At 45.2% G+C, this 25484-nt stretch overlaps 4 protein-coding genes across 21 annotated transcripts, besides 4 other annotated features; 1 reads left to right on the plus strand and 3 right to left on the minus strand.

The window, feature by feature from the left end:
* On the minus strand, positions 158–2281 carry MDP1 (magnesium dependent phosphatase 1). 3 transcript variants are annotated; one of them, NM_138476.4, is made up of 6 exons: positions 2134–2281; positions 1952–2012; positions 1767–1877; positions 707–814; positions 525–610; positions 158–366 (listed from the first exon to the last, which is right to left on the minus strand). In NM_138476.4, exons 1-6 carry the CDS (start codon positions 2168–2170, stop codon positions 239–241), a joined length of 531 nt encoding a protein of 176 aa, NP_612485.2. In that variant the 5' UTR covers positions 2171–2281; the 3' UTR covers positions 158–238. The 3 variants fall into 3 exon arrangements, with proteins under 3 accessions (NP_612485.2, NP_001186751.1, NP_001186750.1); NM_001199822.2 differs by having other exon boundaries at positions 477–610; NM_001199821.2 differs by lacking the exon at positions 525–610 and having other exon boundaries at positions 761–814.
* On the minus strand, positions 158–18582 carry NEDD8-MDP1 (NEDD8-MDP1 readthrough). 4 transcript variants are annotated; one of them, NR_137632.2, is made up of 8 exons: positions 18465–18582; positions 17867–18082; positions 4599–4646; positions 4348–4430; positions 1952–2012; positions 1767–1877; positions 707–814; positions 525–610 (listed from the first exon to the last, which is right to left on the minus strand). NR_137632.2 is itself a non-coding variant. In NM_001199823.3 (7 exons), the coding sequence occupies exons 1-7, from the start codon at positions 18480–18482 to the stop codon at positions 239–241; spliced, it is 582 nt and encodes a 193-aa protein (NP_001186752.1). In that variant the 5' UTR covers positions 18483–18582; the 3' UTR covers positions 158–238. The 4 variants fall into 4 exon arrangements, 1 of the variants encoding a protein (NP_001186752.1); NM_001199823.3 differs by lacking the exons at positions 1952–2012; positions 17867–18082 and adding an exon at positions 158–366; NR_137631.2 differs by lacking the exon at positions 17867–18082.
* Positions 1007–1745: an enhancer, noted in NCBI's record as "H3K27ac-H3K4me1 hESC enhancer chr14:24683998-24684736 (GRCh37/hg19 assembly coordinates)". NCBI's record gives its function as "activates a minimal SCP1, AML or CMV promoter by ChIP-STARR-seq in naive H9 embryonic stem cells {active_cell/tissue: H9 hESC(naive)}" and the evidence as "EXISTENCE:reporter gene assay evidence [ECO:0000049][PMID:30033119]".
* Positions 2158–2327: an enhancer, noted in NCBI's record as "active region_8198". NCBI's record gives its function as "activates an Ori minimal core promoter by ATAC-STARR-seq in GM12878 lymphoblastoid cells {active_cell/tissue: GM12878}" and the evidence as "EXISTENCE:reporter gene assay evidence [ECO:0000049][PMID:35858748]".
* NEDD8 (NEDD8 ubiquitin like modifier) lies at positions 3072–18582 on the minus strand. The gene is made up of 4 exons (NM_006156.3): positions 18465–18582; positions 4599–4646; positions 4348–4430; positions 3072–3438 (listed from the first exon to the last, which is right to left on the minus strand). The coding sequence occupies exons 1-4, from the start codon at positions 18480–18482 to the stop codon at positions 3342–3344; spliced, it is 246 nt and encodes an 81-aa protein (NP_006147.1). The 5' UTR covers positions 18483–18582; the 3' UTR covers positions 3072–3341.
* Positions 18446–19311: an enhancer, noted in NCBI's record as "H3K27ac-H3K4me1 hESC enhancer chr14:24701437-24702302 (GRCh37/hg19 assembly coordinates)". NCBI's record gives its function as "activates a minimal SCP1, AML or CMV promoter by ChIP-STARR-seq in naive H9 embryonic stem cells {active_cell/tissue: H9 hESC(naive)}" and the evidence as "EXISTENCE:reporter gene assay evidence [ECO:0000049][PMID:30033119]".
* Positions 18478–18772: an enhancer, noted in NCBI's record as "tiled region #3923; HepG2 Activating DNase matched - State 25:Art, and K562 Activating non-DNase unmatched - State 1:Tss". NCBI's record gives its function as "activates a minimal TATA promoter and a strong SV40 promoter by Sharpr-MPRA in HepG2 and K562 cells {active_cell/tissue: HepG2 | K562}" and the evidence as "EXISTENCE:reporter gene assay evidence [ECO:0000049][PMID:27701403]".
* Positions 18837–25457, plus strand: GMPR2 (guanosine monophosphate reductase 2). 13 transcript variants are annotated; one of them, NM_001351024.2, is made up of 11 exons: positions 18837–19062; positions 19434–19555; positions 19694–19813; positions 20322–20456; positions 21952–22035; positions 22182–22355; positions 23286–23367; positions 23460–23566; positions 23735–23777; positions 24461–24620; positions 24804–25457. In NM_001351024.2, the coding sequence occupies exons 4-11, from the start codon at positions 20358–20360 to the stop codon at positions 24991–24993; spliced, it is 939 nt and encodes a 312-aa protein (NP_001337953.1). In that variant the 5' UTR covers positions 18837–19062; positions 19434–19555; positions 19694–19813; positions 20322–20357; the 3' UTR covers positions 24994–25457. The 13 variants fall into 13 exon arrangements, 12 of the variants coding, with proteins under 12 accessions (NP_001337953.1, NP_001337954.1, NP_001002000.1 ...); NM_001351025.2 differs by having other exon boundaries at positions 18837–19003; NM_001351026.2 differs by lacking the exon at positions 18837–19062 and adding an exon at positions 19144–19192.

Consider the following 25484-nt stretch of genomic DNA (forward strand, 5'->3'; position numbering starts at 1 on the left):
AGGAAAGTGGGGTGGTATAGGTTCAAGCACTTGGGGTTGCCCTAAGTTTAGATGGCAAACCTGATGCAGTCTAATGTCTCACATTCTGGTCTCTGCACCTCAGGACAACCAACCCCATTTCACAGGCTAGAAAAATAGAAACTCCCCACACTGTGGGTAAAATCTCTTCTGTCACACACAGATGAACTTTAATAAATTACAAATGCACCTGAAAATGCCTTCTTGATTTCCTTTCAGTTTAGGCCTCAAATGGGCTCTCCTCAAGGCTGGACCTCAAAGGCCCAGTTTGGGCCTTCGCAAATGTCTCTAACCCTTGACTTAGAGTTTGAAGATTCATTCCATTCTGGATGTGAATGCAGGTAACACCTAGAAAGATAAGAAGTCACATTTCATTAAGCTTTCAGGGTTCTCCATTATTACTCTGACCTTTGTGAGTGCCACCTATAGGGCAAACTATCCAACCTGTATGTATCTACCTAATCCCTCCTAGGGACCCCAAATGGCTGTTCCTCATCACTCAGTACCCAGTTTGCTGACGTCTACAATATTCCGCCTCTCATCATCAAAGAAGATCATCTGGGAGAAAGGAATTCCAGTCTTCTGCTGCAACCTATTCAAGACAGGGCAGGAGTAACCAAGCTAGTATCTTGGTTTCCCAGGCCTCTCTGATACTTTCTCACCCTGCTCCTCCCTTATCTCCGCATACCTCTCAAAGTGTGTGATCTTGCTGCCTGGATAGATTTCCCGATGAACAAAGTACCTGAAGAGGTCAAAGAGCTCCAGTAGCTGGTTGGCCCCTTCTATCTCACTTGTCCTGCAAAACGGTGTAAAAGATGGGATTAGCAAAGTGAAGGGCCAGGGCTACGTTAACTTATTAAGCAAAGTTAGTAAGTATAACCAGGGAAATCAACTTGCTGTTTTTCCGGGATGGACAGGCATCCTCAGCCTCTGTTTAACTCCATTGCCTTCCTATTTGACACAATTGGTGCTGGGCCAATGTTTTAGCTTTTGTTTTGAGACAGGGTCTAGCTCTGTTGCCCAGACTGGAGTGCAGCGACCCAATCACGGCTCACTGTGGTCACGACCTCCTGGGCTCAAGTGATCCTCCCACCTCAGCCTCCCAAGTAGCTGGGACTACAGGTGCACGCCACTACAATTTTTTTTTTTTTTTTGGTAGAGATAGGGTCTCCCTCTATTGCCTAGGCTGGTCTCAAATTCCTGGGCTCAAGTGATCCTCCCACCTAGGCCTCCCAAAATGCTAAGATTACAGGTGTGAGTCACTGTGTCTGGCCCCACTTTTTTTTTTTTTTTTTTTTTTGAGACATTGTCTCACTCTGTCACCCAGGCTGAAGTGCAGTGGCTCCATCTCAGCTCACTGCAACCTCCGCCTCCCGGGTTCAAGCGATTCTCCTGCCTCAGCCTCCCGAGTAGCTAGGATTACAGGTGCGTGCCACCACGCCCTGCTAATTTTTGTATTTTTAGTAGAGACGGGGTTTCACCATGTTGATCAGGCTGGTCTTGAACTCCCGATCTCGTGATCCACCCGCCTCGGCCTCCCAAAGTGCTGGGATTACAGACGTGAGCCACCGCGCCCGCCTGCTGGCCCCACTTTTTAATAGTTAAAAGGCACAGGAGAGCGTTCAAGGGAAAAAATATGTAAATACTTGGAAACTTGCACCGCCCCTATTTTTGTAGACCAGGGGTTTCACTGTCTCTTGCATGCACCCTTCAGCATTACACTGTCAGTTGTCAGTCGCTCTTCTTACCTTGAAGCAGCCGCACCGGGCACCCCAAGGCTCTGCAATCGTTTTAGGACCTCAGGCACCTCTGGGTACAGTCGGACGTCTTGGCCCCGCCTATCTCGTACAGTTCCATCACTGGAGAGGGCAAGAGTGCGCTCAGCCCTGGCTGGGTCCTATCTCGCCCCCAGTCTTCCCTGTCCCTACCTCACCTGCTCTTATGGAACGGAGGGTCTACGTGCGTGTCGACCCAGAAAGGCCAGAGAGTGTAATCTGCGAGAGGAAGGAGAGGGAAGGTTCAGCCTGGGGCGGGAGATGCAGGGATTCGGGAGCTGCTGTTAGGGATGTGGAAAAGGAGAGCACCTTACGAAATTCTCCCCTTCCCGTCCCTCACCCAAATCAAAGACTGCCAGCTTCGGTAGCCGCGCCATGACCCGCACCGCAGGCTGCGCGCAGCAGAGGTGGGGCTTCACCCGGGGCCTTAGAGAGTGCGGAACCTCCGGCAGCTAAGGCAGCCACCCTGCCTGCCATAGACAAATGGCGACTAGAGCGTCGCCACTCGGGGCGTCATCAGCCTGGAGATGGCGCAAGAGTGCCATCTGATGCTGGGCGGGGAAGAGGATTGCAGCGAGGTACCAACACGACCACACATGCAACCACAGCAGTCAAGTCTTTCTAAGGCATTGGCCACGGGCATCCTCCCTACTTCTCCACTCCACCCAGCCTTGCCCGATTCTATTATACTAAGAAGCCAGGGAAGAAGGAAAGCCTTTTCTTCTAGCACCTGCCTCTTCTTGAGACCCAAGTGATACATCACAGCTTGTCACTCAATCTTTCTGCATTATCAACCTCCTGACAGTGTAGAACCCAAAGTCCTCAGTAATATTCCAGCCATAGAGTACAGTGTCAGCCAAACCCTTGAAGGCGTTCTCCAACCAGGCCTAAATGTCCAGTACAGCCACAGTCAAGAGAGAATTCACTCTCCGAAGGTTTCACCATCCATGTCAGCACTACACTGGTAGATGTATAACAACCAGTTTGTGGGGAGGAACTGATCTGTAGTGTTTGCTAGTTTCTGTAAATAATCCTACCATGGCCAATTTCAAGCTACCAACATGAAGTCACTTAATAGAGTTGGAAAAAGGTGCCAATAATTGGCTCTCATTAGCCACTAGGAACTGGTTCCAACACACCACTAAGTAGGTTTTCCTAGAGTCTGATAATCCCCGTAAGAGCACCATTCCTTCCACTGTCCGATTCCTTCAGCCTGCTATAACTGAGTGAGCATTAGGTCCATTTTTATTTCAGTCAACTTGTGCAACAGAAGAAAGATTCCAGGAGGCCAGGAAATATTTTATTGACAACCAGGGACACAGTCATAAGAGAGGGAAGCACACAGGACTGCAAACTAACACCCAGTAGCCAGCAAGGGCCCTCTGGGCCAGGAATACTGAATCCTGGGATCCTCACAGTCTCCCACCAGTAGACATACATTACTGGGCATCCAGGGGAGGGGGCAGTGGCTATGGTGTCCCAGAGAGTGAGAGGATATATGATGCCTCATTATGAGCGACAGGGTAAAGAGGTAAAATGGAGGGTCCATCACTGCCTAAGACCACCTCCTCCTCTCAGAGCCAACACCAGGTGAAGGACTGAACCACCTAAAATCTTGTAATCAGCTGCTGTCTTCTCATCATTCCTGCAGGAAAAGGAAGCCAGAAAAAAAAGAAAAAGAAGACTTAGGAGTTTTTTGTTGTTGTTGTTGTTGTTGTTGTTGTTGTTTTTGACAGAGTCTCGCTCTGTCATCTAGGCTGGAGTACAGTGGCACGATCTCAGCTCACTGCAACTTCCACCTCCTGGGTTCAAGCAATTCTCCTGCTTCAGCCTCCTGAGTAGCTGGGATTACAAGCGCCCACCACCACGCCCAGCTAATTTTTGTATTTTTAGTAAAGATGGGGTTTCACCATGTTGGCCAGGCTGGTCTCGAACTCCTGACCTCAGGTGATCCACCCCCTTCAGCCTCCCAAAGTGCTGGGATTACAGGCGTGAGCCACTGCGCCCGGCCAGAACAGGAGTTCTTGAGTTTCCTGGATCTCTTTGGGGGTCTGTGAACTTGAATGAGAAAAAAAATCCCATCTTTATTTTTACTAACCCCCAACTGAAATTTAACATTTCTTCTAACTTTAAACATAGCCCAAAAACCACAGTAGTATTAGCAATATAGGTAACTTGTTAACAATAGCAATTAACTATTTTCTATCATGATCATTTATAGGTATCTTGAAAATATTTCAAAATTATGGTCATATTAGACCTACCATTAGATCTTATGCATTAATAAAAAAGTACATATATTACTATATCACAAATTTGTTTTAGTATTTTAATAACTATTTCAATATAATTAGTTTTCCTTTAATTCTATATATTTTGTTTTATGCCTGAAAAAATCTTATTCTGAGAAGGGGCTTAGAGGCTTCACCAGATTGCCAAAGAGTCTTAGGCACCAAAAACAAGAGGCACCCCTGATCCACCTCAGTACGTGCCCCCTCTCCTCTTCTCATCTTCACATAAGATCGCCATGCTGTCATTCTCACTCCAAACTCACATCTGCTTGCCACTGTAGATGAGCCTCTGCTGTTGTGGGGGGATTCCCTCTTTCTCCTCCACACGCTCCTTGATTCGCTCCACCTTTAGAGAGACAAGTAGTCAGGGGCTGCTGCTTAGGGGTAGGACCATGGAAACGGAAAGAACAAGGGCTATGCAGACAGCATGAGAGCAAAAGGACCAAGTTCATAAGCATATGCAAACAAATACACATGGCAAGAAGTACATGAAGAGGAGTTGGGCATGCATCACCTTGTCTGTAGGTTCAATGTCAATCTCAATCTCCTTTCCGGTCAGCGTCTGAAACAGGCAATGGTTTCATGAGTCCTTAAAGCCCAATGTACAATTTGTCTTCTAGGTAAAACATCCTATGTTGGTCTTTGGGATCTACTGCCTTCTAAAAGATGCATATTCTCAGCAGCACTGCTTTGGAGAATGAGAAGGCTTTGAACATACCTTCATTTATCAAATATTTTTAGGCTGTAAACAACTTTGATAGGGCAAGATTCTTTGAACCATCTGATCCTCTTAATTCCATGAGTCATCTTCCAACATCAGTCCCCCAAAATCAGTGAGAATATTGGCATTATTTTAGATGATACGGCAATGAAAGGATTTATTTATTTATTTTTGAGATGGAGTTTCGCTCTTGTTGACCAGGCTGGAGTGCAATGGCACAATCTCGGCTCACTGCAACTTCTGCCTCCCAGGTTCAACCAATTCTCCTGCCTCAGCCTCCCACGTAGCTGGGATTACAGGCATGCGCTACCAGGCCTGGCTAATTTTGTATTTTTAGTAGAGACAGGATTTCTCCATGTTGATCAGGCTGGTCTCAAACTCCCAACCTCAGGTGATCCACCCGCCTCAGCCTCCCAAAGTGCTGGGATTACAGGGGTAAGCCACTGCACCCAGCCTGAAAGATATCTTAAAAAAAGTCAGAAGGACCTTGTTCTAAATATCAATGCTAGAAATTAATATTCAGATAATTTGAAGAATTCTCAAGGACACCAGAAATCATCTCAGCAGTTTTTTAAAAAATGCTAGAATTGGCTGGGCATGGTGGCTCACACCTGCAATCCCAACACCTTGGGAGACTGAGGCGGGAGGATCACTTGAGCCTAGGAGTTCCAGACCAGCCTGGACAACACAGCGAAACCCTGTCTCAACCAAAACAACAACAACAACAACAACAACAACAAAAATTAGCTGAGTACAGTGGTGCATGCCTGTAGTACCAGCTATTTGGGAGGCTGAGGTGGGAGGATCACTTGAGTCCAGAAATTAGAGGCAGCAGCAGTAAGCCACGATTGTGCCACTGTACTCCAGCCTGGGCAACACCCTCGCAAAAAAAAAAAAAAAAAAAAAAAAAAGAAAGTAAAAGAAAAAAGAGAAAAGAAGACAAGAAGTCAACATTACATCTCCCATATCTTTCCAGACTTCTACCTAAATCCTAAATTGCAGCTCTTGTCTTCTTCCGTAAGTTAAGGGCTGGTGATATCCAAATACAATAATTATACTGATTATGCAGTCATAAATGTTGTGTCTTCTCCCATCTGTCCTTGCTCTTAATAGCTCTATCTGTATTAGTCTACAGTGATCCAGGCCACAAACACACCATGCTCATTCTAATTTATGGGCATTTCTTTGCTTCCGTTATTTTCCTTGTTGCAATATCCTCCCCTTCTTCTCCAAACTTCAAGACCCCTTAAATGTAAGATCTCCTCCTGGCCGGGCACAGTGGCTCATGCCTGTAATCCCAGCACTTTGGGAAGCTGAGGTGGGTGGATTACCTGAGGTTGGGAGTTCAAGACCAGCCTGGCCAACATGGAGAAAGCCTTCTCTATTAAAAAATACAAAATTAGCCAGGCGTGGTGGCGCATGCCTGTAATCCCAACTACTCAGGAGGCTGAGGCAGGAGAATCTCTTGAACCCAGGAGGCAGAAGTTGCGGTGAGCTGAGATTGTGCCATTGCACTCCAGCAATGTATAAAACCTCCTGTATGATGTGTAGACCTGTTCCCAGTGTACTTTATTAATACTTCCAATATTAATATACCAATTACAGCTAGTTGTTTAAGTGTTAAACTTTCCTAGTGTTTGACACACAAGCAGTCAATGAATATTTTTGAAGGGCTAAATATACTGATGATCATATTATAATCACAGCTAACATTTACTGAAAACTATTTTTTTCCTTTTATTTTTTTAAGAGACAGGGTCTCACTGTATCAAGCAGGCTGGAGTTCAGTGGTGTGATCCTGGCTCACTGCAGCCTTGACCTCCTGGGTTCAAACAACCCTCCCACCTCAGCCTCCTAAGTAGCAAGGACTACAGGGTGTGTGCACCACCACACTCAGCTATTTTTAAGATTTTTTTGTAGAGACGAGTTCTGTGTTGCTCAGGCTGGTTTCAAACTCATGGGCTCAAGTGATCCTCCTGCCTCGGCCTCCCAAAGAGCTGGGATTACAGGCATGAGCCACCTTGCCCAGCCATTGAACACTTTCTAAGGGTCAGTAACTATGATCAGCATCTTACATGCATCACATTTAATCCTCCCAGTATTTATGAGATATGGACTATTACTATTTCCATTTTATAGATGAGAAAAATAAGCCTTAGGTTAAAAACACATCTACGCAATCAAAAGTAGAGATTGGATCCAGATTCCCTGGTCCCAGAGCCTGTGCTTTTATTTCTGTACTCCGTCCTACCTGAGTCTGGCTGGTCTAGTATTGGGACCCAATGTACACTCCTATAGTAGCTCACAAAATAACATATGGTTTCTCCTTATGGTATTCACATAGAACAGCACGAAACAAGAACTCAGAAAATTTCCCAACAAGGAGAATGATTTAGTACTAGTATGTTTCCAAAAATACAAGAACAATTCCTTTGGATTAACCTGTTTGGATATGAAAGAATAAATTACAGCAGTGATTCTCAAGCTTCTACCCTAACCTATGCTGGTCTGTGTGAAAATTTTCAGCAGCCTATGGTAAAATGAGAAAAGCAGTGTTAAAAGTGAAATTTTCATGAAACTAAATATATTCAGGTGTTAATGTCCTTTCAGAGAATGGTGGTGACAATTTGTGGTAACTTTAAAAAGACAAAATAAAAAGTTTGTAATTCTGTGTTGTCCACAAATTATTTCACTTTCTTTTTTTTTTTTTTTGAGACGGGGTCTCAGTCTCACCCGGATGGAGTGCAATGGTGCAATCATGGCTCACCGCAGCCTCGACATACTGGGCTCAGGTGATCCCCACCTCAGCCTCTTGAGTAGCTGGCATCACAGGCGGGCACCACCACGCCTGACTACATTTTGTATTTTTAGTAGAGATGGGGTTTTGCCATGTTGCCCAGGCTGGTCTCGAACTCCTGACCTCAAGTGATCCACCTGCCTCAGCCTCCCATAGTGCTGGGATTATAGGCATGAGCCACCGTGCCTGGCCGATAATACAAATTTTTATTTATTTATTTATTTTGAGATGGAGTTTTACTCTTGCTGCCCAGGCTGGAGTGCAACGGCACAATCTCAGCTCACCCTGCAACCTCTGCCTCCCAGGTTCAAGCAATTCTCCTATCTCAGCCTCCCAAGTAGCTGGGACTACAGGCATGCACCACCACACCTGGCTAATTTTGTATTTTTAGTAGAGAAGGGTTTCTCCATATTGGTCAGGCTGGTCTTGAACTCCCGACCTCAGGTGATCTGCCTGCCTCGGCCTCCCAAAGTGCTGGGATTATAGATGTGGGCCACCGCACCCGACCACAAATTTTTAAAGAGTGAAAAAAGACTCTCAGAGAAGACCTAGAGCTGCTCTCCCAAGAGCAAAATGCTTGGACCTTATATTTTTAAAAAGGATTATTGGTTTGTAAATTCTAAAAGTCTAGAGCTGGCCCTTTGTTTCTGAAATCGACTGTAGAGGCCCATAAATATATCTAGAGAGCAATTTGGCAATATGGTGTCCCAGCAACAATACTTCCAGGAAAATACTCATGACTATGTCCAAAAGTATACCTACAACAATGGTTATTGCAACCTTTTGATACTGTAAAATTAGAAACACAATCTAAATATCAAACAGTTGAGGGTTAAATAAATTATGGTACAATCATAGAAAAAAAATTACAAATCCCTCAAACAATGTTTAGGATAACTATTTGTAATATATTAACAATATGCTGATAATTTAACAAAAAAGTTATAGTATATAGAGTATAATTAAAATTTTGTAAAAACAACACATGCATCTATATGCTCTCCAAAAAGCTTGGAAGGGTATATACAGTATATTAATGCTTTAACTTGAGCAGTGGAATTATGGGTGATTTTAATTACATTATTATGCTTTTCTGTATTTTCCATTTTTTATACCACAAATGTGAATATGCTGTAATGAGAACAAATTATTTAAAAAACAATGTCCTTGATAAGGGTAAGATTTTGTAAAGCAGCACTGCCTTGTAGAAATATAATACAAGCCATACATGCAATTTTTAAATTTACTAGTAGCCATATTGTAAAAGTTCTTTAAGAGGTAAAATTTTAATATTTTTAAACCCAACATAGCCAAAATATTATTCACATGTAATCAATATAAAAATTAATATATTTTATGTTTTTTCTAACCAAATCCTAAAAATCCTGTATTTCATATTTACATCACATGTAGAGATGGGGCTGGGTGCGGTGGCTCACACCTGTAATCCTAGCACTTTAGGAGGCCGAGGGGGCGGATCACGAGGTCAGGAGTTTGAGACCAGCCTGGCCAACACAGTGAAACCCCATCTCTACTAAAAATACAAAGATTAGTTGGGCATGGTGGTGGGCGCCTGTAGTCCCAGCTACTGGGGAGGCTGAGGCAGGAGAATCGCCTGAACCCAGGAGGCGGAGGTTACGGTGAGCTGAGATCATGCCACTGCACTCCAGCCTGGGCAACAGAGCAAGACTGCATTTCAAAAAAAAAAAAAAAAAAAAAAATAGAGATGGTAGGCTGGGCATGGTAGCATATGCCTGTAATCTCAACACTTTGGGAAGGGGATGTGGGAGTACTGCTTGAGGCTTGGAGTTTTGAGACCAGCCTGGGCAACATAGTGAGATCCCCATCTCTACAATAAAATTAGCCAGGCATAGTGGCACAGGCCTGTAGTCCCAGCAACTGGGTACTCAGAAGGCTGAGGCAAGACTGCCCAAGCCCAGGAGTTCAATGCCGTAGTGGGCTGATTGTGCCACTGCACTCCAGCTTGGGTGACAGAGGGAGACCCTATCTCCAAAAAAAACCCAGAAAAACAAAAAAATTCAAATGGTAAATTTTCATCTGAAATACTTGACATATATTTAAGTTTCATAATTTACAATAGAAAAAGTAGATTTATACACCCAACTTGTTCTAAACATACTTAAAAGTTTTTTATATTTATTTATTTATTTATTTATTTGAGATGGAGTCTTGCTCTGTGTCCCAGCCTGGAACACAGTGGAGTAATCATGGCTCACTGCAGCCTCCAACTCCTGGGCTGAAAGTATCATCCCACCTCAGCATTCTGAATAGCTGGGACTACAAGCACACACCACCATGCCTGGCTAATTCTTTTTTGGAAAAAAAAAAAAATTTTTTTTTTTTTTGAGGCAAGGTCTCAGTCTGTCACCCAGACTGGAGTGCTGTGGCATCATCTGGCTCACCACAACCTCCGCCTCCCAGGCTCAAGCAATTCTCCTGCCTCAGCCTCCCAAGTAGCTGGGGTTACAGCCGCGTGTCACTACGCCTGGCTAATTTTTGTATTTTGTATTTTTTATTATTTTTATTTTTATTTTTTTGAGACAGAGTCTCGCTCTGTCGCCCAGGCTGGAGTGCAGTAGCACGATCTCGGCTCACTGCAAGCTCCACCTCCCGGGTTCACGCCATTCTCCTGCCTCAGCCTCCAGAGTAGCTGGGACTACAGGCGCCCGCCACTACGCCCAGGCTAATTTTTTGTATTTTTTAGTAGAGACGGGTTTTCACTGTGTTAGCCAGGATGGTCTCGATCTCCTGACCTTGTGATCCGCCCGCCTCGGCCTCCCAGAGTGCTGGGATTACAGGCGTGAGCCACCGCGCCCAGCCAATTTTTGTATTTTTAGTAGAGATGGGGTTTCACCATGTTGGCCATGCTGGTCTCGAACTCCTGACCTCAAATGATCCACCCGCCTCGGCCTCCCAAAGTGTTGGGATTACAGGCATGAGCCACCATGCCCGGCCTGAAAATTGTTTTGTAGAGATGGGGTCTCGAAATGTTGTCCAGGCTGGTCTCAAACTTCTGGCCTCAAGTGATCTTCCCACCTCAGCCTCCTAACTCACTGGGATTACAGGTGTGAGCCACTGTACCCGGCTAAGTTTCAGTTTTTAAATTTAATTAAAATCAAGTACAATCAAAATTTCAAATCTTCAGTCTCTCTAGTTACATTTCAAGTGCTCAATAGCCAAATGTGGCTAATGGCTACCATTTTGGACACTGTTCAAATATTCCAGCTAATATATGAAGCAACAAGAATATTAGAGTACCTCCAGCTTGTAACCCCCAATGAAACAATGTATCTAGGAAATGACTAACATCACAGAAAGCAAAACAATCTGATGGAAGTACATACCACATCACCACCTATGAATTCTTCTCACATATGAACATACAAAGATTAATCAAGCCTCTAGATCTAATTACCAGCTGACAGGAAATACAGAGGAAAAGAGGAATACGTCAAAAGACAACATGGGAGCCCGTTGTGGTGTCTCATGCCTGTAATCCCAGCAATTTGGGAGGCCGAGGTGGGCGGGTCGCTTGAGGCCAGGAATTTGAGACCAGCCTGGCCAACATGGCAAAATGTCATCTCTATGAAAAATACAAAAATTAGTCAGGCATGGTGGCGCATGCCTGTAGTCCCAGCTACTCAAGAGGCTGAGGCACGAGAATACAAGAATCACTTGAACCCTGGAAGCAGAGAAGTTGCAGTAGTGAGCCAAGATTACACTGCTGCACTCCAGCCTGGGTGACAGAGCAAGACTCTGTCTCAAAAAAAAAAAAAAAGAAAAAAAGAAAAACATGGGAATGTAATCAGCAAAATTCAAACTGCAGGAAACTCTATTCAACAAGAAAAAAATGGGAAAAAGGAGAATCTACGGATTTAAAGAAATTGAAAACACATAAACCAATGGCAATGTATGGATCTTAATTGGATCCAGATTCAAACTGTTAATAAAAAAAGAGAGAGAGACAATAGGGTAATTTGATGATAGTAAGCAATCAGTTAAATTTTTGGATGTAAAAATTACGGTTATGTTAGAAAAAAGGTTATCTTTCACAGAAAAACACTGAAATATGTAGGAATAACATATGCTATGCTAGCTGGAATTTGCTTTAAAAAAATCAGGTAAAAGGAGTTGGTGAGTTTAAATTAAATAAGATTGGCTATGAGATGATAATTTTTGAAGCTGGATGAAGGGTGCATACACCCTTCTCTTTCCTGATGTATGTCTTTGAAATTGTCCATGAAGTTGTTTTAAAGCAGTTGAACAATTTTAGAAGATATTCTTGATATATCACACTGTAACCTGACAATACATTCAATGCTATTTAAACAAGTATAAGATGAACCTAGACAGGGCGCGGTGGCTCACGCCTGTAATCCCAGCACTTCGGGAGGCCAAGGCAGGCGGATCACCTGAGGTCAGGAGTTCGAGGCCAGCCTGGATAACATGATGAAAACTTGTCTCTACTAAAAATACAAAAAAATTAGCTGGGTGTGGTGGCACGCACCTGTATCCCAGCTATGCAGGAGGCTGAGGAGGAGAAATGCTTGAACCCAGGAGGTGGAGGTTGCAGTGAGCAGGGATCACGCCACTGCACTCCAGCCTGGGTGACAGAGTGAGACTCCATCTCCAAAAAAAAAAAAAAGATGAACCTAAACCTAACATACTGCCCTAGGCACTGGAGGAAATACAAAAGAAATGTGATCCAGCCCTGCCAACAATCTTTATCAAGCGAAGATGTACAACCAAGAAACAATTAGACATAAAATTAATAGAATAAGGCTGTATACAAGGAAGTTCTGGCTGGGCACAGTGGCTCACGCTTGTAATCCCAGCAGTTTGGGAGGCTGAGGCAGGTGGATCACTTGAGGTCAGGAGTTCGAGACCAGCATGGCCAACATGGCAAAACCCTGTCTCTACCAAAAATACAAAAAAATTAGCTAGGCATGGTGGACGCTTGAACGAAGGTGGAGGTTGCAGTGAGCCGAGATCGTGCCACCGCACTCCAGCCTGGGTGACAGAGGGAGACTCCATCTCAAAAAAAAAAAAAAAAAATTAAAAATTAAAAACAAATCAAAACAAAACAAAACAAAAGGAAGTACTATATTGTCCAAACACAAGGGGCAATGACTAAGTGCTATGGTGAATGAAAATCAATGTTAATCAATTTAAGCCTTGAATGAGATAACATTATATAACACTAGATATAGTGTTTTAATTTATATAACATTATAACACTATAATAGCCAAAATAAAAATGACTGACATCAGCATTTTTATGGTGCTACAAGGGTACCGTCTAGTAAGGGTACAGAGCAACTGGAATGCTCATACACTGCAGGTGGGAATATAAAATGGTACAAACCCTTAGTTTCTTTTTAAAGTTACATATATCTACCACATGACCTAGTAATTTCATTCTTAGGTATTTATCCAAAGGAAATAAAAACATATGTTTACAAAAACACTCGTATAACAATGTTCATAGAAGACTTTTTCATAATAGCCAGAAACTGGAGATAACTCAAACACCCATCAACAGGAGAATGGATAAACAAATTATGATATAATTCATCCAATGGAATACTATTCAGTAATAAGAAGGAATAAACCACAGATTACAGTAGACATTATGCAGAATGAAAGAAGCCAGATACAAAAATTGTACATTCAATAATTCCATTTATATAAAGTTCTAAAACAAGCAAAACTAACCTATGAAACTCTTGAGGGGGTAGGAATACAAATGTTTAGATTTTGTAATTACATGAACGTATGCTATTGTCAAAAACTCACTGAACTAAACCCTTAAGAACTGTGCATTTTACTGTATGTTAAAAAACATGAATGAGAAAACTGATTCACACAGTAAAGACAGTTGCCAAAGTAATCTGCAATGAGGAAATCAATGAAGGATCTGGGGTTAGGGAGTAATATAATGAAAAAGAAGCTAAAGGAAGACCTGCACATTATGGTTTTGTACGTCATGTCTTGGTTTAGACTACACTTTAGAGGGGATATGACGGTAGGAAAACCTGGTTGGATGTATTACAGAGACATAAACATATAAATGAGTAAGACCCGAGACCAGAATGAGGGTAATGGAGATGGAAACAAAAATCAAACAGAAAGAGCTTTTAAGTGAAAAATTAGATCTTATAAAAGGACCACGTAATTTTAAATGACTCTAAAGAATTGTATTCCAGACACCTGAATGATTGATGGGATTAATACACGAGATGGGTATTGGGATATGGCTTATGACAGAAGATGATGCATTTAATTTTAGAACCATAGAGACAAGGTAACAAGATTTAAATCAGGAAGAATTTAATTGTAAAATCTTATAGAAAAATATGGAAGAAGTCAGCTACACAGAGACAGCAGTTGAAAATGAATCATTCGGCTGGGCATGGTGGCTCACGCCTGTAATCCCAGCACTTCGGGAGGCCAAGGCAGGTGGATCACTTGAGCTCAGGAGTTCAAGACCAGCCTGGGCAACATGGTGAAACCCCACCTCTACTAAAAATACAGAAAATCAGCCAGGTGTGGTGGCATGTACCTGTAGTCCCAGCTACTTGGGAGGCTGAGTTGGGAGGATCCCTTGAGCCTGGGAGGTGGAGGTTGCAGTGAGCCGAGATCATACCACTGCACTCCAGCCTGGGTGACAGAGTAAGAATGTCTCAAAACAAAAACAAAATGAGGCCAGGCGCGGTGGCTCATGCCTGTAATCCCAGCACTTTGGGAGGCTGAGGTGGGTGGATCACCTCAGGTCAGGCGTTCAAGACCAGCCTGGCAAACATGGCGAAACCCCGTCTCTACTAAAATACAAAAGTTAGCCGGGTATGGTGGTGGGCACTTGTAGTCCCAGCTACTTGGGAGGCTGAGGCAGGAGCATCGCTTGAACCCAAGAGGCGGAGGTTGCAATGAGCCAAGATCGTGCCACTGTACTCCAGCCTGGGCGACAGAGTGAGACTCCATCTCAAAAGCAAAACAAAACAAAAATAATAATAATTCAAAAAGGGGTCAGATATGGTAGCTCACGGCTGTAATCCCAGCACTTTAGGAAGATGAGGTGGGAAGATCACTTGACCCCAGAAGTTTTAGACTAGCGTGGGCAACACGATGAGACCGCATCTCTACAAAAAAATAAAACAATTGGCTGGGTATGGTGGTAGCACACGCCTGTAGTCCCAGCTACTCAGGAGGCTCAGATGGGAGAATTGCTTGGGCCTGAGAGGTCGAGGCTGCAGTAAGCTGTGATGGCACCACTGCACCCTAAGCCTGGGCGACAGAGTGAGAACCTGTCTCAAAAAAAAAAAAAAAAAAAAAAAGGAACTGTAATAAAAAATGTCACTTATATGGTAATTAACAGCTCTTTTTTTTCTTTTTTAAATTAATATTTTCTTCAGATCAGATTAACAGCTATCTCATGTGTAACTACTTTCCTATGTATTTAATTAAGAAATGCAACAAACAAGAGGGGATGGGGCGAGAGGGGGAGATAGAGAGAGATGGGGCACAGAGGCCTGTTTGAAGGCAGAAGGGTGTTGCAGGAAAGAAGACTGGCAATTTTAGAGAAGTACCACATAAATATGGATTCAAAGAAACAGAAAAAATCTAGAATCTTGCTATTCAAAGTGTAGCTCTCAGACATTCAATATCACCTGGGAGTTTGTGAGAAATGCAGAAACCTGTGCCCCACCTTAGACCCACAGAATCATAATCAGCATTTTAGCAAGACCACAGGTGATAGGACACTGTATTTTCAAGTTTCCACACACAGCATTGATTTTTTTGTTCAAACAGTTATTTTATTTATTTATTTTTTGAGACAGTCTCACTCTGTTGCCCAGGCTGGAGTGCAATGGCACGATCTTGGCTCACTGCAACCTCTGCCTCCCAGGTTCAAGCAATTCTCCTGCCTCACCCTGTCAAGTGGCTGGGACTACAGGTGTGTGCCACCACACTCGGCTAATTTTTGTATTTTTAGTAGAGACGGGGTTTCACCATGTTGGCCAGGCTGGTCTTGAACTCCTGACCTCGTGATCCGCCCGCCTTGGCCTCCCAAAGTGCTGGGATTACAGGCGTGAGCCACCACGCCTGGCCTTTCAAACAGTACTTTTTAAACTGCAGGTCTCAACCCATCAGTGGGCAGGTCTCAACCCATCAGTGGGTTATGAAATCAACTTAGAATTGAAAGTCTGAGAGCATATCACAAATAGCAAAGTTTTTGTGCCTTATGGGTTGTGACATAAAATTTCTTAATGTGGAGTGAAATTTTCAAAAAGTGTACAAAACACTTAGCATTAGTAACTTAACTTCTTTGGACCTAGTGGACATGAGAACCCATATGCATTGAAAAGCCAACAGAAGTATTCAACAGGCCGGGCGCGGTGGCTCATGACTGTAATCTCAACACTTTAGGCGGAGGTGAGCGGATCACTAGGTCAAGAGATCGATACCATCCTGGCCAACCTGGTGAAACCCCGTTTCTACTAAAAATACAAAAATTAGCTGGGCGTGGTGGCACACCCTGTAGTCCCAGCTAGTCAGGAAGCTGAGGCAGGAGAATCGCTTGAACCCGGGAGGCGGAGGTTGCAGTGAGCCGACATTGCGCCACTGCACTCCAGCCTGGTGACAGAGGGAGACTCCGTCTCAAATAAAAATATTCAACAGTTAGTGTTTCTCAAGATTTTGACAGTGATCCATTCTAAAAATTAGTATGAACTAGTAACACCCCCTGTGTAATATACATATAAAATAAAATAAAAAATTTCAGGCCTGGCAACAGAGTGAGACTCTGTCTCAAAAAAAAAAAAAAAAAAAAAAAAAAAGGCCAGGCACGGGGGAGGGTGGCTCACACCTGTAATCCCAGCACTTTGGGAGGCAGAGGCGGGCGGATCACGAGGTCAGGAGATCGAGACCATCCTGGCTAACATGGTGAAACCCTGTCTCTACTAAAAATACAAAAAAATTAGCTGGGCGTGGTGGCAGGCGCCTGTAGTCCCAGCTACTCGGGAGGCTGAGGCAGGAGAATGGCATGAACCCGGGAGGCGAAGCTTGCAGTGAGCCGAGATGGCGCCACTGCACTCCAGCCTGGGCGACAGAGCGAGACTCTGTCTCAAAAAAAAAAAAAAAAAAAATCATAAAACAATATCCTTACCTAGCACTATATTATTTCCTATTTTCTCCCCCTCTCTCTTTCTTTTTTTTTTTTGCAGGGGGAGATGGAGTTTCACTCTTGTCGCCCAGGCTGGAGTGCAATGGCGCCATCTCAGCTCACTGCAATCTCCGCCTCCCAGGTTCAAGGGATTCTCCTGCCTTAGCCTCCGAGTAGCTGGGATTATAGGCGCCCACCACCACGCCCGGCTAGTTTTTGTATTGTTAGTAGAGGCGGGGTTTCACCATGTTGGCCAGGCTGGTCTTGAACTCCTCACCTTAGGTGATCCACCCACCTCGGCCTCCCAAAGTGCTGGGATTACAGGCGTGAGCCACTGGGCCCGGCCTTTTTTTTCAGGCAGGGTCTGGAGTGCAGTGGTGCCATCACTGCTCACCGCGGCTTCGACATCCCAGGATCAATCAATCCTCCCATCTCGGCCTCCCGAATAGCTGGGCCTACAGGCATGCGCCCAGACCCTTGGCTAATTTTTTGAATTTATTGTACAGGCAGGGTTTCGCCATGTTGCCCAGGATGGTCTCCAACTCCTGGGCTCAAGCGATCGGCCTGCCTCGGCCTTCCAAAGTGCTGGGATTACAGGCGTGAGCCACCGCGCCCAGCCTATTTTCTCTTTTTAATGGCGCCAGTGACCCATTCACCTATTAAATTGATGTTACGACTCTTATATAGGCCGCTACTCAACGTTAAAAAAAATCATCTTTAACATACTATTTTAATACTAGACCTCAAATCTTAGCTAAGAAGTAGTTTGGAAGGACTGGGGAAGAGAAGGTTAAGAATGACTATTATGTACGGTAAATATGCTAAGAAGCTGATGAAATAACGATAGATTTACTTAGCTACAAAAAGGCCAAACTAGCATTAGACTTCACTTGTCAGCAGTTTTGTTTTTTTGAGGGGGGCGTGGGGGGGGGGGTCTCTGTCTGTCTGAAGGCACAAAAGAGGAAACAGCAGATAGGACTAACGAGGGCTGGAAATTGGTGAAGAACCACCACGGGAGTTGAGAGATGCAGATGAAGGAAACCATGGCTAGTAGCAAGAACTAGGGCAGCGGTAACTAACCTGCCTCAGCCAAGGAAGTGAGGCTGGTCCAGGATGCCAGGCTCAGAAAGGCAGGTACTGACTGAACACACTCCCCGCTTTGGTTCCTGTAGGACGGGTGAGATACCACACCTTGGCAACCACCAGTAAAGGCTCATAGTCTAGCCCTTGGGAGGCCCCGATTTTAGGGCTGTGCTCGGAGGCGACCTACGTTAGGGACTGGGAGAAGCAGGTACCCTGGGAATGAAGAATGGAGAGCAGCGCTTACTCCAAGAATCTGAGAGACGGGGGAGTCAAGCCGCTGCTAGGCCTTCTCTATGACTGCGGGGGTTCGAATACAGTGAGACCCGACAAAAGCGACCCCATTCTGGGTGATAGCACAGTCCTGGCAAAAAAGCAGGCATGGCAAAATACCCCAGGGTCGTCAGGTGGGACCTGGGCCCCGCTCTCAAAGCCCTTCTGGGTCCCCCTATTTCCCACCACCCCTCGCGCGGAGCCCTGAGGCAGTCAGCGTCCTCCAGGCTAGGGAAAGGCGTGGTTTTCCTTCCCCACGTCTCCCGTAAGGCACTGCTGCCAGCCCAGTACTACTGCGTCTTGGCAAGGCTGGAGGTGCTCCCACCTTCACTTTAATTAGCATCTTCTTTCCAGTTTGGGGCTGCACACGGATAAATTGCTGCTCCTACCGCTCCGGTCGCCGCTGCCGCCCTCCAGCACTCTTGCCTGCAAGGGCCACTTCTACTTCCGGGTCACTGTCTGGCTCCACCCCCCCCCCCCCCCCCACTGGGTTCCGGAAAGGCTCAGGGTTGCTCCCGCGTTTCGGTTCAGTGACGTCGTAAATTGGAATGAGGCATCCAGTTTAGCAACAGCAGAGATGACGACTCTGCGATTCTGAGAGTCCCTGGCGAGCCCGGGCTAGCGAAAAGTGGGGGCAGAACGAACTACATCTCCCATCGTGCCAGGAGGCGGTCCCGCCCGTTTCCCCCTGGGAGTTGTAGTCTAACCCCCTCGGATCCAACAGCAACCTCAGTGCGTGAACTCTGTTATCCAGAAGGCCTCGCCCTGCCGCCGCCGAAGCTGGAATTCGTCGGCTAGTAGTTCTCGCCGGCAACTAGAGGAACCTGTTGGCGTGGCCCAGAAGGCTTAGCGGGATTGCACGAGGTTAGTTGCTAAGCAAGGTGGTCTTTGGTCAACTGCCGCCTGGACCAAGGCAACAGGAAGTGAGTACCTCTATTCCGGAAACTAGTTATGAACCCTCCCCGCCCCCCGTCGCCAACATTCCTTCGTTCCCCTAAATCAGCCTCTTGCCCCATTGCTCTTTGCAGGGGTAGAAGAAGGAAGTGTAGCGGGGTAAGGAATGCACCGTCAGGGTCTCTCACAACCCTTTCCCAGCTCTCCTCCCCAACAAACAGTACCTGGGATGGAGCCCTAGGGTAATCGCAGCCACGGGATGGGTCGAGGTGACAGGCTTCAGGGACCACACTTCGGCCTTTGCCCGACCTTCCACAACTTAAGCGAAGAGAGGCCACCAGCCGTAACAGGGCGTTAAAGCCCAGGGGAAGATTGGTCCTTATGACTTCCTGCCTTCCAGCCCTCAGATTCATCGCTACCCCGAGGCTAAGCGCCATGCCTCATATTGACAACGATGTGAAACTGGACTTCAAGGATGTCCTTTTGAGGCCCAAACGCAGTACCCTTAAGTCTCGAAGTGAGGTGAGCAAGCTTCTCTACTTGCTGTTTCTTGACCCCACGCTCCCGGTGGGCCACAACCAAGAAAGATGCCTGTCCTTGTCCTAATATGGTACGTTTTTTGGATTAATGAAATGGTCAATTTCCTGTTCATATCTGCAGGTGGATCTCACAAGATCCTTTTCATTTCGGAACTCAAAGCAGACATACTCTGGGGTTCCCATCATTGCTGCCAATATGGATACTGTGGGCACCTTTGAGATGGCCAAGGTTCTCTGTAAGGTAGGGCTTTCCTCATGCCCCATCCCTATTGGTGTCCAGTTAGCCCAGCTGACTGCAGAGGTGTTTGCATCCCCACCCCCATGCCCAGTCAGTTCTCTGGCAGTTAGCAGTCAGGATGCTCTGATTTACGGTTTTTTCCACTACTGAAGCCCTTTATCTGATAAGTTCAAAAGGCCATCTGAATTAGTGAGATTCAAAGCTAAGTTCTGCTCCGATATTTCTGATATATGAACAGAATTTTCCCTTTTGTCCTGTTTAGCAGTTTGTACACCTTGCCAACTTTTCCCACCACCCAGGTCACCCCCTCACAGTCACATGCATCCCTTCAGTTATGCGATTGTCCACATTAAGCATTCACTGTTTTAGTCCAGAAACTACAGTTTAAGCATTCAAAAATCCTAACTAGAAGATCCTAGGAGAAGCAGCTTATTAATTTTCTTTAATAAGAACAATTCATTAATAAAAGAATACTTCTGCCATTCTTTTTTTAATCTTCCTCTTCTTTAAGTCCTAGGTTCCTGGGAGTTTCTGGGATGTGCCCCAAATGGGATGTGTTTTTCTTATATACAAGTTGTTCACTTTGAAATGGAAGATGCTGCTCCTGTCAGTACTATTACCTGCCTCTATACTTGTTGCTGAGAAGGTAGAGAGTTATCTGGGCACTTTGAGAACATATGCACTCTGCTGGTTGATCCATGTAGCCCTGGTTGATGAATTCTGCTATTGTTTGTGGCTCCATTAGTCTTAAGGACTTCATATCCTTTTTCTATTTTTGATTGCTGTGTCTTTGTGGAATGTCTTGTCATTTCTTTAAGGTTGATAGTTATGCAGTTTTATTTTTACTTTATTTTTATTGCCATTCAGTAACTGCTTAGGAATCTTTCTGTTGCCCACTGTCCATCTGCCCTGACCAGTAGAGTTCAGAATTGGTGACTCTGACTGCAGAGTTAACAGGCGTGCTGTAATACATGAACCTTTTTGGGGACTGTCTTGATGCTTTATGTGGAGCCTGGCTTTCAGTATTGCTGACGAGAGGTAAAGAAATCAGGTTTTAGAGATAAGAGCCAAGTCTTACTGTAATAAAAAGGTTGGATGCAAGCAAACATCTTTTTCTAAGTTTGGTATGTAATCTGATGTGCTCATCATGCCACACTCTGCCAGTATATCTCCAACATCTGCTGACTTCCTATCCTATGGTGACTTTTCTTTGCTTATCAGTATGTTGATGATAGAGTTGTTGAGAAAGCAGAATTCAATACCAGCTTTAGCTAGATATTGTTGATCTCTGAGTACGTATGTAGAGCACTTGTTGCTAGCTAATACATGACTTCCTTGGGTTTCTTGTTAGTTGCAAGATTTGTGCTGTTTCAGCCAACTGCTGTCTCTTGTCTGTTTGCATGTAGACATGTAAGGCACAAACACCAGCATACACAATGGCCTTTGAATGCCTTCCTCAAAGTATTGGGATATTGTTTGCAATCTGTTGAGCTAGAGAATATGAGTTTGATGAGTCATTATGTCCTTGAACTTTATTAAAATGGACTGAATGAAACAGATTTTTTAGCTTGATCCATGTCCCCAACTAGGAAATTTGTCCTTTTTTCCACTAGAGATGGAGACAGGGTAGGGTAGCCCCTTATCAGCTCTTATCAACCTTAAGGCATTACCTTTGGTGAGCATCCAGATCTACTGAATTACTGCTGGTAAATGAACGAGAACATAACCAAAAATAGTTTAGTACTAGGTTACCTTAGGAGGAGGGGCTGAGTCAGTGCAGAGAAACACAGGCTCCATCCAGCTTCTTCATGGTTCTTTCATGTCTGCTGCCTGTCCCACTGCACCAGCAGCTTGTCACCTTTTAAGTCAGAAGCAGTGAATGTGCTGGCAGATGAAATCCAACCCAGATCACTCAGTACTTTGGTGGGAAATCTGACAAGTACTAGCTTATGGTAAAAAGCCCTACTAGTATTTGTAGAGAGAAGAAAGGTTGAACTCAAATCCCAGCTCAACCTGAGTTCTTTGACTTGTTTCCTCCCCAACTTCAATCATGTCCTCCCTCAGATAGAATAGGTCTGTTTCTAGAAAAGAGACCTTAATAAAGTTTTCTCCCTTTTGATGCTTCTTTGTCTTCTCCCCAGTTCTCTCTCTTCACTGCTGTCCATAAGCACTATAGCCTCGTTCAGTGGCAAGAGTTTGCTGGCCAGAATCCTGACTGTCTTGAGGTAACACTGGGCATACCCTGCTCCCTTCCTTATCCCAGTTTTCCAGCAATTATATTTTGGCTTTCTGGGGACCAGCACTCACCAATGACCCACTGGCTGCCCACCAGATCATCTCTGATATGCCAATGACTCTGTTTCTCCCACAGCATCTGGCTGCCAGCTCAGGCACAGGCTCTTCTGACTTTGAGCAGCTGGAACAGATCCTGGAAGCTATTCCCCAGGTGAAGTATATATGCCTGGATGTGGCAAATGGCTACTCTGAACACTTTGTTGAATTTGTAAAAGATGTACGGAAGCGCTTCCCCCAGCACACCATCATGGTATGTTTCTATTACAGTCGGTACCTTTTTATCTTTCCACTTTCCTGCCACTCCGTTTTGCTACATCAGTCCATTTCTCCTCTGCTGCATTATGATATTCCTAGTTCATTTAATCATGATACTGGATGATTATCCATAGTTCTAAGCTGAAAATGTCTATTTGGTCAGTGTAGTATCTCTGACCCTTGGTTCATAGTCTTTGTAAATCTGATGTCCCTGATGTCACTCACCAAACCATGATGGAACATCTGTGCACTGTACATACCTGTGGTACATAGACATCTGCCCACTGAAATGGACACATACTAGTCACATAAAAAGGGGTCACATGAATAATGATTTATCTTTTTACAACCTTAGAAGAGTGGCCTTCATTTTCTTCGCAGCATTGAGGGGTGTGTCTACTGATCATCAAAAGCCAATCAACTGGTCAAATGGGTCTTTAGCCTATACTACCATGCCTTCTCCCTTTCCCTGAAGCCAGACAGGTTCTATGACAGAATGGCTTAAGGACAGAATATGTTTGGGTCTCTTGAGGAAGGGGAGCTAAATCTACTGTAAATCAGATGTGAGCCTGGTCCAGTAGTTCCCTTTGCCTCACTGAATGCTCCTCCATGCCACTTCATGTGTCCCTGTTGATCATAGCACCTTGTTGCCTTAGAAAAGTGCATCATGGACCTCGGCTTTACCCTAGGTTCAGTGGTGACATTGGCCACTCACTCCTACCTTGGCTTGGTGTTGGGTGGATGGGTAGGGAGCAGGGTTCTCTAAAGTGGCTAGTGTAAAAGCCCTCAGAGGGCCCAGTAGAGGGGACCTAGTTATCCTTTCTTTGTAATAATGTTGGAAAGTCATGGTCCATGCATACCGTAACAATACATGACCTCCTGTTTCTGGCCCTAAGGATGCTGTATTTCAATTGCTCTGTCTCAGGCAGGGAATGTGGTAACAGGAGAGATGGTAGAAGAGCTCATCCTTTCTGGGGCTGACATCATCAAAGTGGGAATTGGGCCAGGTAAGCTGGTTCATTGGGGCCACTGGCTACCCCCCTTCAGTGGCAAACACCTGTGGAGCACGTCATTCTTACCCTTATCATGTTCTTCCTAGGCTCTGTGTGTACTACTCGGAAGAAAACTGGAGTGGGGTATCCACAGCTCAGCGCAGTGATGGAGTGTGCAGATGCTGCTCATGGCCTCAAAGGCCACATCATTTCAGTAAGGCTCAAGGGCAGGGTAGGGTATGAGCGGGGTTTCTGCAGGGTATGGAGGTGGCAGAGATGGATTAGAATTCCTGGGTTCTTGTTGGCTTTGAGTTGGGCTGTTGGGACATCGCTGAGGGCTTGGGAAATCCATGTTGTATTCATAGTGCTCCTTACTTTGCAGGATGGAGGTTGCAGCTGTCCTGGGGATGTGGCCAAGGCTTTTGGTAAGGAGCTTGAGGGCACAGAAGGATGATTCTATACAAGAGGATGAATCACCTCTGAGGGTCTAGGGTCAGGCTAAGAGAGGCTCAGGAAGTCATTCAGATTCTTTCATAATATGAATTAGTGACTCCGAAGTCTATGGTATCATCTGGGGCAGCCAGCAGGGGACATCTGAGACTCCAAGTGTGGGCCAGGGCCATCTGACCATCTCCTAGATTGCTGCACAGTGCAGACTCCTGAGCCCCAGCCATACCTAAAAATAGGCTCTGAGGAATGGGACAGCACATCTGCATTTTTCATTTTGCACAGCTTCCCAGGAGATCATTACTCCCATTAAAGTTGGGGATCTTTGCTCTTGGGACACATGAAATGAGTCTTATTTAGCTGGGCACAGTAAAATCAAATGACCAGACGATGATGGTAAAAACAGCAAAAGGAGAAAGCAAAAGCCAGGCAGGGACTCTCCAGAGGCTCTTTTTTAAATCTTGGGGAAATCATACCCACTGAGGAATAGAGGCCAGGGCAGATCAGGCCTGCGTGGATTGTGGGTCAGCTAGGGAAGCAGAAGGAGGAAGACGCTGGAATCATTGTCAGGACTGAGAATATGGTGTGAGTTGCTTTTGAGGGTGGCCATGTGAGCACCTTGGCCAGATTAATCTCTTTCCCCCCTCCATGATGGTGGCAGGGGCAGGAGCTGACTTCGTGATGCTGGGTGGCATGCTGGCTGGGCACAGTGAGTCAGGTGGTGAGCTCATCGAGAGGGATGGCAAGAAGTACAAGCTCTTCTATGGAATGAGTTCTGAAATGGCCATGAAGAAGTATGCTGGGGGCGTGGCTGAGTACAGGTATGTGTGGAGGCCCAGGAGCTTAGTAATAGTATGGAGGCAGAACTCATGGCTGCTGAGAGGGGGATGGTACAGTTCTCAGAGAAGCATGGTGAACCGGGGCTCAATGCTAGGGTCTGTGGAAAAGTCCCTGGGCTTAAGGAATCCAGAAGGAGAAGATAATAAAGTTTTTCCTACTTTAAGAGCCTCAGAGGGAAAGACAGTGGAAGTTCCTTTTAAAGGAGATGTGGAACATACCATCCGAGACATCCTAGGAGGGATCCGCTCTACGTGTACCTATGTGGGAGCAGCTAAGCTCAAAGAGTTGAGCAGGAGAACTACCTTCATCCGAGTCACCCAGCAGGTGAATCCAATCTTCAGTGAGGCGTGCTAGACCTGAGCAGTTCTACCCTCCCAAGGCACCAGTACTCTACCATGGGGCATCCCAAGTGGGGTCCTCACCCATCCCAGCTACTGCAGCTCTGTATTACTTTGTCATTTCCTGTTGTCTCACTCCTGAGGGCTCCTGCAGTAACTCTGTACTTCTCTATCTGCACACACAAAATGCCCAAGGCACTCACTGGGGAGGAAGCAAGGAAGCAAACAGTCTGAGAAAATGATGCAAGAAAATCAAATGGGAATCTGGGGACCCAACACAACATCCTGAAGATTATTAAAAGGAAAAGATGCTGATTGGTACATAAATCTTTTACATGGCCTTGGTCTAGAGGAGGCAGGCTTTTAGAATCATGTTTTGTTAATCCGCTTCACTAAATTGGACCTTCACATATCTAAAAAGCTCTGAAGTGTTTGTATATTTGAAATACCTCAATAAAGAGAGAGCTCATTGACTGTAAAGAGATGCTGGGGCTTTCTGTACAAGGC

The sequence above is a fragment of the Homo sapiens genome, chromosome 14, assembly GCF_000001405.40.
Source record: "Homo sapiens chromosome 14, GRCh38.p14 Primary Assembly".
In the NCBI taxonomy this organism is placed as follows: Eukaryota; Metazoa; Chordata; class Mammalia; order Primates; family Hominidae; genus Homo; species Homo sapiens.

Excerpts from the sequence above, each read along its gene's own strand:
- NEDD8 (NM_006156.3), bottom strand. Across the intron at positions 4,431-4,598 it reads ACATTGAACCTACAGACAAG|GTGGAGCGAATCAAGGAGCG; the intron begins GTGATGCATGCC and ends GTCTCTCTAAAG. Across the intron at positions 3,439-4,347 it reads ATCTACAGTGGCAAGCAGAT|GAATGATGAGAAGACAGCAG; the intron begins GTGAGTTTGGAG and ends CTTTTCCTGCAG.
- GMPR2 (NM_001283022.2), top strand. The coding sequence starts at position 19,415 with ATGACTTCCTGCCTTCCAGCCCTCAGATTCATCGCTACCCCGAGGCTA. Across the intron at positions 19,556-19,693 it reads CCCTTAAGTCTCGAAGTGAG|GTGGATCTCACAAGATCCTT; the intron begins GTGAGCAAGCTT and ends TCATATCTGCAG. Across the intron at positions 22,356-23,285 it reads TCCCCCAGCACACCATCATG|GCAGGGAATGTGGTAACAGG; the intron begins GTATGTTTCTAT and ends GCTCTGTCTCAG.
- MDP1 (NM_138476.4), bottom strand. The coding sequence starts at position 2,170 with ATGGCGCGGCTACCGAAGCTGGCAGTCTTTGATTTGG. Across the intron at positions 2,013-2,133 it reads GCTGGCAGTCTTTGATTTGG|ATTACACTCTCTGGCCTTTC; the intron begins GTGAGGGACGGG and ends TTCCTCTCGCAG. Across the intron at positions 611-706 it reads AAGATCACACACTTTGAGAG|GTTGCAGCAGAAGACTGGAA; the intron begins GTATGCGGAGAT and ends TGTCTTGAATAG.
- NEDD8-MDP1 (NM_001199823.3), bottom strand. Across the intron at positions 1,878-4,347 it reads ATCTACAGTGGCAAGCAGAT|TGATGGAACTGTACGAGATA; the intron begins GTGAGTTTGGAG and ends TGCCCTCTCCAG. Across the intron at positions 611-706 it reads AAGATCACACACTTTGAGAG|GTTGCAGCAGAAGACTGGAA; the intron begins GTATGCGGAGAT and ends TGTCTTGAATAG.